The sequence below is a fragment of the Homo sapiens genome, chromosome 7 (genome assembly GCF_000001405.40).
Source record: "Homo sapiens chromosome 7, GRCh38.p14 Primary Assembly".
Classification (NCBI taxonomy): Eukaryota; Metazoa; Chordata; class Mammalia; order Primates; family Hominidae; genus Homo; species Homo sapiens.
Genome location: NC_000007.14, coordinates 69,160,820 through 69,175,141, shown reverse-complemented (window position 1 = coordinate 69,175,141; position 14,322 = coordinate 69,160,820). Strand labels below are relative to the sequence as shown.

The window sequence follows — 14,322 nt, the reverse complement described above, 5'->3', positions numbered from 1 at the left end:
GTCACCAAAATTGAACATAGTGGCCGGGTGCAGTGGCTCATGCCTACAATCCCAGTGCTTTGGAAGACCAAGGCAGTAGAATTGCTTGACCCTCTTTCTACCAAAATAAAAAAAAATTAAAATGGAATGTAGTGATAAGTCCAGCTAGCAAATTGTTTCCTGAAGACAGAGCTCACAAAGTCCTTTTTTTTTTTTTTGAGATGGAGTCTCACTGCAACCTCTGCCTCTTGGGTTCAAGTGGTTCTTCTGCCTCAGCCTCCTGAGTAGCTGGGATTACAGGTGCATGCCACCACACCTGGCTAATTTTTGTATTGTTAGTAGAGATGCGGTTTCACCATGTTGGCCACGTTGGTCCCAAACTCTTGATCTCAAGTGATCCACCTGCCTCGGCCTCCCACAGTGCTGGGATTACAGGCATGAGCCACTATGCCCAGCCACGAAGTCTTATAATAGATTATTTAAATCAACAATTTCTATGAGCTGCAAAATAGATTGACAAAATCGGAAGCCATCCTTTTTCTATCACTCTTCCTTGCCTTCTCTGAGTCTTCTGTGTAGCCAGCATTTCTCTGAATAGATGTTCCTGTCTCTTTAACTAGCAATGAGGTGTTCTCATCTATAGCAGAGCTTCTTACCTGACAGGAGCAGCAAGACCTGGACCTCCAAGAGGGAGATGGTAGCTCTGTAAGCCGTTTCCTAGTGGCCCCAGTGGAATTCATTCCAAGCGAGTGGGAGTTATAAGGACGCGAAAGGACCAAGGCCACTATTTGGGGAGTCTGACGAAGGAGTTGTAGCACTCCTGGAGGAAAGAAGGAAGTCAAGGTCAGTGGTCCATGACCCAGGGCAGCTGCACTGTGCACAATTCAAGAAAACCTCAGTGGTTTTCAGAGGAATGCTGGCTACTGCCCAGCCATGAGAAAGATGTTGAGACAGGGTACCAGGCAGCCCAGGAGGGCCATTGCTTAGAGCTGCTTACAATAAGTCTGCAGCTCCCAATGACTTACTGTGTGATTTGCCTGGATCTGAGAAACTCTATTCTCCAGAGGCTGATGATGGTGCTCCTAGGGCAATGCTTTATACTCCTGCATAGCATCTGTTTTCCATTTCTATTCCCTGTAAATGTACATTGTTGGCCACTTGCCTGCACTTGCCTCTCCCTGCCCCCTCCCCTTCCTTTCTCTCCTCTAGATAGCTTTTCTCTTAGGAAGAATGGGATCACTTCTCTCCCGAACAGGTCTTCCCACAGAGGAAAATGCTGAACAGTACCAAATGTGGGCTTTGGTTTGTGTATTTCCTGTGGCTGCACAGGGCAACTAGGCAGATAATTGCCTCTGGAGTTTCTTCCCATTTTGCAGACACAGCCTTGAGTTCTTGCCTTTCCAGTAGGGCTTGAAATTGTCTTTATGACAGTGGTTCCAATGTTATGGGCAACGTGGGCAGCTTCTCATGTTATTCCTGGAGAATCACTTTCCAGGTTCTTCTCTCTCTCCCTCTCCAGCCTCCCCCAATTTCCCTTTATCTTCGCTTCTAATTGGAAAAACGGAGGAGGGAGGTATGGTGAAAGAAGAGATCCTAAAATAGGTCAGGCCATCATGCAGGTTCCAAAATAAATGTCATCAATGCCAAGTCACTGAACCATATAGCCCAAGCTGACAGGGCCTCATTACCTGCTGTTCTGACTTGGGATTTTAAAGTCATAGGAAGCATCGGTGTCAAGGACTTACAAAAGAGCCCCCCAAAAAGAAAAACCAAGACAGGGAAGGCAATTTTGGGGTGAGCAGGGGAGAAGTTGGGATAAGGGAAATGAAGAAAGATGCTGCCGTACTAGGATTGAAGCACAAACCAGAATGTGCCCTTTTGTAATCCACGTTGCTATTTTTGGTTATCGGTGGACTTGTGGGGGATGGAAAGCGGGAGGAATAAATCCATCCTTGCCCCAGTGCAGGTTTGAAGTTTATGAGGATGGAATGGTAAGCACACAACATAGGGTTTTATGCATCAGCACAACTTTGTGTTAAATTGTTCTCAGAGGGTATCTTGTAGGGGAATGTGAATATGAATGGCTGTGTTGTTCTGGAGGCTGAATTGCAATTACCAAGATGTGATAGGAAACCTGGTCTTAACACTGCCCAGTAAAACAGTATCCCCCCCGCACTTATGTATGGCACCTATGGTCCATTTAGTCTCACATACACAAAGTAATCTCTTTGGTAGTCAAACTCCCATGAGCCACCCAGAGTACACAGCAGAAAGAACTCTGTTGCCTAGCAACCAATGGAACATTACAACACTAGATAAATCGAATCAATATTGCTCTAAATATTGAACCGTTAGATGATAAAAAAAAAAAACCCTCAAAGCTATGTCCATAACTCCTTTGCTTTTTCCTCTCCTAGGCTTAGCAGCCGAGGTGGACCAGCTGGTGTTTTCACAATCTGCAGAGACATACAGGGAAGGACGATGGGGGGACGACATGGTGAGTTCCACGGAGGAACCCGGCAGTAGTCATTCCAGAAAGGAGATACCTGAAGGCTAAATCCCTAGGAATCTGGAGCCTCCTGTCCACCTTGGCAGCACTGGGTGGCCTGGAAGTGAGGTCATTGTACTGAGTTCCTGACATGCTGGCGTCTGGTCAGGAATCACTGAAGTTGAAGAGACCAAGGTCACTGCCAATGGTTTTTATAAAGAACACTTGAGTTGCTGGGCACAGTGGCTCATGCCTGTAATCCCAACACTTTGGGAGGCTGAGGTGGGAGGATCGCTTGAGCCTAGGAGATCAAGACCAGCCTGGGCAATATAACAAGACCCCCATGTCTTAAAAAAAAAAAAAATCAGCCAGGTATGGTGGTGAACATCTGTAGTTCAAGCTACTCAGGGGGCTGAGACAGGAGGATCACTTGAGCCCAGGAGTTGGAGGCTGCAGTGAGCTATGATTGCACCACTGCACTCCAGCCTGGGTGATAGAGACAGACCTTGCCTCTAAAAAAAAAAAAAAAAAAAAGAACACCCAAGGTTCAAGTTGGTGCACAAGACGTCCTCCCCATGAGACACCTAAGGCCCTCCCCATCCCTTCATCACCAAGCCCCAGTGGTGAACTGCACCTTCTCTGTCTACTCACAACCCTCAGATTGACATATTGGAACTTCTTTCCCTTGAAGTCTATTTTAGTGTATTTTAACCAGCCTCTTGCGCCTTGGTAGAAATGAACCCAGCTTGGAAGGGGAGGGGGAAATTTGAAAAATGTCTAATCATGTTTTCCAATGAGTTACTTTTTCTTCCTGGAAATAATGCTAGATCATATTCCTAGCAACAATTTCCTGGCAGAGTAGCCTTTCTGAAGAGGCTCAATATGTCCTCTTGTGCAAAGCTTTCCTTGGGGTCCCCAACTTTAAGGTCCTGCCACAGTGCTGTTGGAAGCACTGATTTTTTCACAGATAAAATGGTAGAGTTGACTTTAGTGAGAGTTATTAAGAGGTGGAGGAGAGAAACTAACAATGTGAGCCTTTACCATGTGCCACTTTAGTGAGAGTTATTAAGAGGTGGAGGAGAGAAACTAACAATGTGAGCCTTTACCATGTGCCAAGCGCTGCAGAGGATGCCTTAATAAAACTGGAGCTGCTCATTGAAGTGATGTGATACCTGTATAAGGTAGGACCTATTCTTTCCCTTTTGCAGATGGAGAAACTGAGACTTATAGTAACTTATCCTTAAGAGAGAGTTGTGGTATCCCAACAGGCAGTAATTCTGGGCTTCTCTCTGGTCTTTATGTGGTCATTGGGAGGTATATGGCCGAGCAATGGCCCCCTCTCTTAGTTCCAATGGGCCACACAAGGGCCATTTGGAAAGAGAGGATGAAGGCTAGGACCTACGAGGGCTCTGTGTCACTGTCATAATGAAGAGGATGGTCTTCACCGTGCAAGAGAAGAACACCTCTCAAATCGTGAGACAAGACAGGAAAACAGATCTGTCTTCCTTCTAGACCTCAGTGGTGCTATCACTGACAATGCATGTTTGCCCTTGGGAGTGGCGAAGTTTGAGTTTGTATATTTCAACTTTTACCTCCGGAACAGTGCAGGCAGGTCCCGCTTTTCATTGTTCTCCTGATACTTTGTCCTCCATGATACTACCACTCAAGTTTGGATTAAGCTGTGGATGCGGGGACTTGCAACATTGGAGGGAAAAACTTAAAACTGTCAAGGATAATTTCTCCATAGCTCACCAGGAAGGCCCCCAGGAAGATAGACTCTCCACAGGGGTCCCTTGTGGCGCATTATTTTTTTTCCTGCTGTTCTCTACCTTCAGGTTCTTTTTCCCCCCCATCAACTGTCTCATTCTTCCAATCTCCATGGGCTGCATCTCCATTTTCCTTTTGGGAAATCTATTAGGGTGGTGCAAAACTAATTGTGGTTTTTGCCATTAAAAGTAATGCCATTTGGCTGGGCATGGTGGCTCAAGCCTGTAATCCCAGCACTTGGGGAGGCTGAGGTGGGTGGATCACTTGAGGTCAGGAGTTCGAGATCAGCCTGGCCAACATGGCGAAAACCCATCTCTACTAAAAATACAAAAATTAGCCAGGCATAGTGGTGCACGCTTGTAATCCTAGCTACTCGGGAGGCTGAGGCAGGAGAATCGCTTGAACCCGGGGGGCGGAGGTTGCAGTGAGCCGAGATCGTGCCGTTGCATTCTAGCCTGGGTGATGGAGTGAGACTCTGTCTCAAAAAAATATATAATAATAATAATAATAATAATGCCATTAAAAGTATAGCAAAAACTGCAATTAGTTTTGCACCAAACTAATATCTCCCTATCCTCAGGGAAATCTCAGAATCTCAAGACCCATTACTACTTTCCTCTATCCCACCCCAAAGGTGCACTGAACGAACAGTAGCTCATTAAATTCATGATAACACCTAGGACGGGGAAACTATTGCTTCTGCTATCCCAGGGCAGAAAAACTACAGATGCCCCGCGTGGGTCTCAGACAAGTTCATGCCACATCCCTTCTCCGAGTTCTCTGTGCAGGTCTATCTCTGGACAGGTGTCTAAGTCCACCATGCTCATTTTTCCTCATTGTCACCATCGTTATGGCTGTTTGTCACTGCTCCTACATGTCAGGCACTGTACAATACATTATTCCACTGCCTCCACTGTACATTAGACATCATCAGCCCCATTTTGCAGAGGAGCGAATGGAAGCAAAGAGAGAGCGTGCAGTTTGCCCAAGGACAACCAGCTAATACGTGGAAGCTGTGATTTGAATCAAGTTCTTCCATCTGAAGTCAAGGCTGTTCTGGGGGGTCAGTCTTACAGAGGCTGGAGAGGACATGGCTTATAGCAAATGCTCTAGGAGTCTAAGAGGCACCCAGCAGGTGACTGGCAGAATCTTGCTTTCACTTGGAAAATCAGGAGACCTGGATTTTAGTCCCAGTTTTATTGAACTCCCAATTTTCCTTTTCATCATCCATAAAATGAAGGAAGGCTCAGTGACCTGCCAGCTCTCAGAGTCTAATTCAGACCAATGGCCAGTTTCTGAGTCCAGGAAGCAAACTCTGGAACTGAATCCAAACCCGTACAGAACTCAGATGTCTCTGCTTTCATTCTGCAGTTGAAACAGATAAAAGACATAAGGCAATTTCTTCATGCACCACCACTGCCAGGGAACCACAGAACTGAGTGACCAAGGTCTCTTCCTGCCAGGCAGCCTGGAATGAAATCTTTCAGTCACTGTTTTCTTAGGTGTTATTTCTTTACATATGAATAAAAGCCTCGGTAGAAAGGCATTTCTGGTTTTAAGGAAGGAAATCTGAATCTATAAAATGAATCAATTGGGGCTATAAATGTTTGCATTACAAAAGAATTCTGAAGAATACCGCCATTTGTGATATTCTGCATTTATTATTATTATTATTTTTGAGACAGGGTCATGCTCCGTTGCCCAAGCTGGAGTGCAGTGGTGCTATCACAGTTCATTGCGGCCTCAGTCTTCTGGGTTCAAGTGATCCTCCCAATTCAGCCTCCTGAGTAGCAGGGACCACAGGCATGCTCCACTATGCCTGGCTAATTTTTTTTTTGTTTGAGACATGGTCTTGCTGTGTCACCCTGCTAATTTTTTTGATATTGAGTAGAGACAAGGTCTGGCTATGTTGCCCAGTCTGGTCTTCAACTCCTGGGCTTAAGCAATCCTCCCACCTGGGCCTCCCAAAGTGCTGGGATTATAGGTGTGAGCCACTATGCTAGGCCTTATTATTATTATTAAAAAATCAAATAGTGGAAAGCTCATTAGTCAAAAATTAGGATTATAGAAACAGGGCCAAAATATAACCAGCCTGCTGACAGGTTAAACATAATTATTCATTTTTCACATTTTTTTTTTTTTGGCAAAAGGATGACATACGTCGGAGGTTATGTCATTCCCATGTGAGACTTTTCTATCTTGAGATGTGCTTCTCCTTTTGATAATGCTCTGTTCTGGCTGGGCACGGTGGCTCACGCCTGGAATCCCAGCACTTTGGGAGGCCAAGGCGGGCGGATCACGAGGTCAGGAGATTGAGACCATCCTGGCTAACACGGTGAAACCCCACGTCTACTAAAAATACAAAAAATTGGCTGGGCGTGGTGGCGGGCGCCTGTAGTCCCAGCTACTTGGGAGGCTGAGGCAGGAGTATGGCGTGAACCCGGGAGGCGGAGCTTGCAGTGAGCTGAGATCGCGCCACTGCACTCCAGCCTGGGCGACAGAGCGAGACTCTGTCTCAAAAAAAAAAAAAAAGAAAAAGAAAAAGAAAATGAAAATGCTCTGTTCATGCCCATCAACATCTTACCTTTCCGTCCTCATTCTGGCTCTTAATCATATATTTCTTTGTGTTATCAACCAACTGTACCAAGTATGTTGGTGTAAGTTGTTTCCATTACCACACTTTTCTTATTTTTTTTTCTTTTTTGAGATAGAGTCTTGCTCTGTCACCCAGGCTGGAGTGCAGTGGCACGATCTCAGCTTACTGCAACCTCTGCCTCCTGGGTTCAAGCGATTCTCCTGCCTCAGACGCTCGAGTAGCTGGGATTACAGGCACCCGCTACCAAGCCCAGGATTTTTTTTTAGAGGAGGCCCCTACATCTTAGCCTTCAGGCTGAATAGCGGGGCATTTCACAGGCATTTCTTGTAGGCTTATGGAGGAAAGAACAAAATCAGGTACTGGAGAAGCTTTTTTTGGAGACAGGGGTCTTGTTCTGTTTCCCAGGCTGGAGTGGTGCAGTGGTGCAGTGGTGCCAACTTGACTCACTGCAGCCTCCACCTCCCGGGCTCAAGCCATCCTCCCACCTCAGCCTCCGGAGTAACTGGGACTACAGATGCACACCACCATGCCCAGCTAATTTTTGTACTTTTCTGGGGTAGAGATGAGGTCTCGCTATGTTGCCCAGGCTGGTCTCAAACACTTGGGCTCAAGTGATCCACCTGCCTCGGCCTCCCGTAGTTCTAGGTTTACAGGCGTGAGCCACTGTGTAAAGCTTCTTTACAAAACCATGATGTGCAAACTGCTTGTGAGAAAACAGATGATTCCAAAAGGCAAGGGTTATCTGTGGAAGATGGAGTCCTGGCTTGCAATTCTTCCAGTTCTTCCTGAGTTAGAATTACTCATCCATATCCTTTGCCATGTGATTTTAAGCACTTTCCAATGGCCTGAGGGGTGTATATTTCCCTCCCCATTGATGCTGCATTTGGCCAGTGGGAGGTGAGTGCTTGTGGCAGGTGTGAGTCCTCAAGGGGCTTTGCGTGTTCCTGCTTGTCCTTTTGTATCCTGGATGTCCGCCATGAAAAGACCACGCCGGGGTAGGTGCTACTCCAAACAGAGGCAGAGACACATGGAGGGAACCTGCTATCATTTGCGTATTTGTCCCCTCCAAGCCTGTTGTTGAAATTTGATCCCGAATGTTGGCAATGGTGCCTGATGGGAAGTATTTGGGTCATGGGGGTGGATCCCTGATGAATAGATGGATGTCCTCCCTGGTGAGAGGAGGTAAGAGAGCTCTGCCTCTGTTAGTTCACGGAGAGCTGGTTGTTACAAAGAGCTTGCCACCTCCTGCCTCTCTGTCTTGCTTTCTCTCTTACCAGGTGATCTCTGCACACACCAGGTCCCTATCACCTTCCCCCATGAGGGAAAGCATTCTGTGACCATCACAAATATAGATGCCCAATACCTAACTTCCAGACATCAGAATCATGAGACAAATAAACTTTTAAAAAAATTTTTAATTATTATTATTATTTTTTTTGTAAATTACCCAATGCTAGATATTGCTTTTGAGGACTAAGCTATTTTTTTTTTTTAATCTTGCCCAAATTCCTATCTAAAGGGTCTGGGGAGTCATGCCTTACAAACCCTAAATTCTCATCAGATGGGTTTTATTTAATGCTATATATCACGACTTACTTTCCAGTCTGACTCTGGCATAACACTACATGATAAAGAAGACAATCAAAATATTTTACCCAAAAACATGTTTCTTTGGCATATTTTGAAATGGCCCTGCAAAGCTGTCTTTTGTGGGCGCAAATTTGCATCTGTAAAGAATCTCTGACATAGCTAGATCTTTTTCTTCCAGGCCCTCCCAATCCTGAAGAGATTAACTGAGAGTCTAGCATCTTTTAATGATCTGAATAGGAAACATTTGTCATCTATTGTCTCTAAGGGCAGCCACTGTGAGACTTCAAAAGGACCTTGGTCTCCACAATCTTTTATCTCACCTAGAACATTTCCTTTCTATTGATCCCAGGTCTTTAGACAAACTGAACCCATTGTCATCCAGAAAATGTTTACATTTGCCTATAGCCTGGAAGTCCCCCTCCCCTTCCCCCCTCCCCCTCCCCTTCCCCCCTCCCCATCCCCTTCCCCCTCCCCCTCTTCCCTTCCCCTCCCCCTCTTCCCTTCCCCTCCCCCTCCTCCCCTCCCCCTCCCCCTCCTCCCCCTCCCCCTTCTCCCCCTTCCCCCCCCTTTCCCCTCTTCCCTTCCCCTCTTCCCTTCCCCTCCCCCTCTCCTCCCCCTCCCCCCTCCCCTCCCCCACTTTGAGTTGTCCCACCTTTTTGGACCAAACTGATGTATTTCTTAAATGTATTTGACTGATGTCTCATGTCTCCCTAAAATGTGTAAAACCAAGCTACACCCTGACCACCTTGAGCCCATGTTCTCAGGATCTCCAGAGAGGGCTGTGTGACAGGCCATGGTCACTCATATTTGGCTCAGAATACATCTCCAAATATTTTACAGACTTTGACTCTTTTCGTCGACACTTTTTAGCAATACAAATGGGTGAAGAAAAGACTTGAATTCAACCTGCAGTCTGCAGCCTGGTTAAGCTGACCCACAGCCTAGAGCAGGGACGTCTCACGAAGTCCGCAGACCTGGGAGCTAGCAAAAGAAATGCTTGCTGCAGTGAGGCAGTATGTTTTGGGGAAGTTTATTATGCAGCAATAGCTGATTAACATATCATTTTTATATGGGGCAAACTGGGTCGTATGGAGAGAAAGATGGGGTGGTTGTGGAAAAAGAAAGGTTATTAGGTTTCCAGGGAGGAGAGGAAACTGTTGTCTATCATAGGTCCTGAAGGACCTTGTATCAAGAATTTCTCTGAACTTTCCAGACCTATCATTGTGCCAGACAAGCCACGATGCTAAATTTTTTTTAAGGCAAAAATTCAGTGGTGGCCTGTACAGAGCTGAAAGGGCAAAACTGAAAGGCAGTAAGAGAATAACCTTTTACATCAGGCAAAATTGATGGCTGATTCAACAGCCCCAAAGGCTTATGTAGCTCAGCAACTTACAGCAACCATTCTTCTTGTTCATCTTGGTGAAGTTATTCACACGACGAGTGAGGGTCCCCACTCTGCCCAGGTGCAGGAGGAGATTCAGAAAATTTAAAGAAATATGGGCATAATTTAATTCAATGTTGATGGTGATAGAAAGTTCCAGAGATACAGCCATAACATACCGACTAGTATTATGCTTATCTTTGGAAATGGTAACATGATGCTTTTAACCATCATGGTGGTATTCTTTCTTGCATAGAAAGAATTTTTAAAATAGAACATTTAAAAAAAAAAAAAGCATTTGATACCAGTAAAGTTTTTCCAGAGGGCATTGAAAAGAATTGAACTAAGCTTAGAAAAATGACAGTTATCTGTTACCCAGAAAAAGCAGGTAGGTCAATGCTGATAGAGCAATTTAATTTTAGCCCACATGTTTCAACACAAATTTAAACCTCCCATGCAATTAGCTAAAATAACTGAAATAGGGGAGTGCCCAAAGGCTGTACCCATATACAGTAATTTATGATTTAAATTAAGCAGAATTTATAAACTCATTGGCAGTTACTTGTTTGACTTGACTTTTCTTTCTGTGAGGATAACCCCTTCTGATGGAAGGGATCCCCCAGACAAGAGTGATGTCTGCCTCTACCAACAATAGAGATACTTAGCTTCTGGACCAACACTTGGCTCTTAGTGTGTTGTTAAAGGAAAATTAAACTGGAATTGTTGGTTGTATTTCTCTGTCTTATCTTCCAAGAATCTTTGTTTGTTTGTTTGTTTGTTTAAGAGACAGGGTCTGGCTTTGTTGCCCAGGCTGGAGTACGGTGGCATGATCATAGCCCACTGCAGCTTCAAATTCCTGGACTCCCACCTCAGCCTATTGAAAAGATGAGACCATAGGCATGTGCCACGGCACCTGACTAATTTTTAAATTTTTTTGTAGGGAAGAAGTCTTGCTATATTTCCTAGGCTGATCTTGAATTTCTAGGCTAAAGTGATCCTCCCGCCTTGGCCTCCCAAAGTGTTAGGATTACAGGTGGGAGCCACTCCGCCTAGCCTTACCTTCCAAGAATCTTGGATGGCAAGCACTGAGTTTTGAACCGCTCTATTTTCTTCTCTGCCTCACTGTGCAAAGCATGGTGTCTTGAACTTTGGAGTTCCATAAATACATTTTTATTATCATGGCAGACCCATTTGGCTGGCCAACTCAGCCATCATTTGTGTTTCCTCTTCCACCTAGCCATCTTCAAACTAGGCACACATGACTCAATTCTGGCCAATGCATTGTAAACTGAAGCCTTTAGGTGGGGTTTTGGGAAATACATATATATTTTAATTGGCATGATGCATTAGCTATTTTGTACCTTTCCTTTCTCTTCTTCCTGCATGCACACGTGAGGCTCAGAAGGGCAGTAACCATCCTGTGTCTATGAAGCAATAGGCACATGGATGAAGGTCCACACATTAAAGATGGCAGAGCAAAATGATGTGAAGAGCTTGTGTTGGAACTGGCTTTTACCAGCTTGCAAGATTTGACCAATAACTTCTCAAGAATTTTGCATGTTTGTTGTTCAGCACAGCCATGATTAAAAATGGCCTTATATAAACTTACAATGAAACAAGTTATGTTAAAACAAAGATAATAGTGCAAACATTTTTTTTTACTGCTTTACTATAATGCTCATGAGATTATTTACGTGTATAATATTTATAGTGGAAATGTTTTGTACTGGAATGCAATTGAGCGTTTCTTCCAACTCTGCACTTAGTTGTGTCACGTTGATAGCTGGAAATCAAACCGTGGTGGAAGTATGTATGCTATGGAAATTGACAAACATAACAAAATATTACTGTCCCTTCAGAATGGTTGTTAAACATTTAGCAGCTCAAGCTCACCACTGCTGGCTTCCCGATGGATCATTGATTTGCCATCTCAGCCTCATCTCCTGGAATTCTTGTTGGATAAGACAAATAAGCCCCAATATTTTAAAGTCAATATTAGTCAAGGTTTCTTACAGTATTGTAACAAAAATTATGTCTAACATATATAGCTGTTAATTCATTTATCTCATCCTACCAAACACAGGTGGAAAATATTCAATGTCATACCACGGATGTACAGAAGAAGAAAGAAATCCTATTTGGAACTGAAGTCAGCCAGTTGGAATTTTCAGAAGGAAATCCTGGCAGCCCGCGGTGTTTGAGGCATTACATAAACATCTGATACTTGACTCAGTAACTATCAGCACTTGGTGTCAGCATATAAATGTTGGGTTGGAAAAGTAGACAAATTGATTTTCCATTCCTCTCATTCTAGTTTCTTCCTTTCATTGATGCTGTAGTCATGGATCTTATTACTAGCATAACAGTCAGTAATATACACATGTTATTTCTCTGGTTAAAGAATAATTCTTTTCAAAGCTCTATAATGTGATAAACTGACCCTGAATTATGACCATAAAAATAATAATTTACTCTTTTCTCCAAAGCTATCAAAAAATTCTCAAGCTCTATAACCTATAAACTGTCTAACCTTAAGCCATTGTTATATATTTTTCACATTTTATGAGTTAAAATAGACTTGAGAGTTAAGAAGAGGAAAGTATTGGTCCATCTACTTCCCTGCCTGGAATATTAAGGGTCAGAGAGGTTAACTTATCTGCTCAAGGTGAAAAAAATAGAAAGCAGGTCTAGATTGCAATTAATTGTATCTCCTCATTACTTTTATTTTCTCTCTCAGAATCACATTTTTGTATTCCAGTATAAATATTGAGTTTGAACGCATGAAAATCATTTTTCTGGTATGTGACAGGGCAGTTGGATTTTGTTTTCCTTTCTGGCCTGTTTCCTGAGGCTGTTAAGAAGAGCCAGAGATCAAGAATTTGAGTCTTTGAATGCAAAATAAAAAGTATTGCCAATGGAACTAGGTTTGTTACTGGGGATTCTTGGTGGGGAATAGTATGTTCTGGCAAAAAATGAGGAGGTTTATTTTCTCCTCCTTCTCTTATATAGTCTCCTTTTAGTTTCTTACCTTTACCTTCTTACTCCATTTTTTTTTTTTTTTTTGGTTAAGATACAGGGTCTTGCTCTGTAGCCCCAGCTAGAGTGCAGTGGTGCAATCATAGCTCACTGCAGCCTTGAACTCCTGGGCTCACACCTGTAATCCCAACACTTTGGGAGGCCAAGGCAGGAGGATTGCTTGATCCCAGGAGTTCAAGACCACCCTGGGCAACATACTGAGACCCTGTCTCTACAAAAAATTTAAAAATTAGCCAGGCGTGGTAGCATGTGCTTGTAGTCCCAGCTATGGTCCAGGCTGCAGCGAGCTATGATTATGCCACTCAACTCCAGCCTGAGTAACAGAGAAAGACCCTGTCTCAAACAAACAAAAAAAAGGGATCTGGAAGAGGAAGAACAGTTACTGGGACATTTGAAGTTCAGTAAGAGAGGAAATCTCAGTGGGTTGAAGATAATGTAAAAACACCCCAAGTTTTAGTATGTTCTTCTCTATCTCTGCTCTGTCCACAGATTATCTACTGGCTAAAGTGATCCTCTCACCTTGGCTTTCCGAGTAGCTGGGATGACAAGTGTGCACCACCATACCTGGCTAACTTTTAATTTTTTTGTAGAGACAGGGTATTGCCATATTGCCCATTTTGGTCTCAAACTCCTGGAGTCAAGTGATCCTTCTGCATCGACCTCCCATACATTTATTCATTGTTTATTGAATAAATGTTTGCTGAGCACCTACTATGTGCCAGGCAGTCTTTCAGGTTCTGGAGAAAGCAGTGGTGGGGACAAAATGTCCCTGCTCTCATAGATTAGGTGTGGTGGGGAGGTGGAGCAAGAAAGACAATTAACAAGTTAACAGAGAGGCACCATGGAAAAAATGGAACAAGGTGATGTGTTACAGTGTGGCTCTAGTTGGGACTGGATAATGTGATCAAGTCCTTAGAGGTAGTGAGGAGATATCTGAGTGGTGTCTTAGTTAGTGTAGGCTGCTGTCACAAAGTACCATAGACTGGGTGGATTATAAACCACAGAATTTTATTTCTCTTAGTTTTGAAGGCTGAAAGTCTGATCTCAGGGTTCCAGCATGGTTGGGTTCTGGTGAGGGCCCTCTTCTGGGTTGTAGATCACCAGCTTCTCATATCCTCACATGAGCTCTGTGGGGGGTCTCTCTCTCTCTTTTTTTTTTTTTTTTTTTGAGACAGAGTCTTGCTCTGTCACCCAGGCTGGAGTGCAGTGGTGCTATCTTGGCTCACTGCAATCTCTACCTCCCAGGTTCAAGTGATCTTCCCACCTCAGCTTCCTAAGTAGCTCAGATTACAAGCGTGCACCACCACGCTCAGCTAATTTTTGTATTTTTTAGTAGAGTTGGGATTTCACCATGTTGGCAAGGCTGGTCTCAAACTCCTGACCTCAAGTGATCCACCCGCCTCAGCCTCCCAAAGTGCTGAGATTATAAACATGAGCCACCGCACCCAGGCTGGGGTCTCTTTCATAAGGGCACTCATCCCATTC

The 14,322-nt window shown here is 44.1% G+C and overlaps 1 long non-coding RNA gene across 2 annotated transcripts; it reads left to right on the top strand.

Moving 5' to 3' along the window:
* Positions 1 to 668: 668 nt before the first annotated feature.
* On the top strand, positions 669 to 12,721 carry LOC105375344 (uncharacterized). Of its 2 annotated transcripts, XR_001745023.1 has the most exons (3): positions 669 to 822; positions 2,397 to 2,476; positions 11,885 to 12,721. It is a non-coding gene; the product is annotated as an uncharacterized LOC105375344 (long non-coding RNA). The 2 variants fall into 2 exon arrangements; XR_927648.1 differs by lacking the exon at positions 669 to 822 and having other exon boundaries at positions 2,310 to 2,476.
* The last annotated feature ends 1,601 nt before the right edge of the window (positions 12,722 to 14,322 follow it).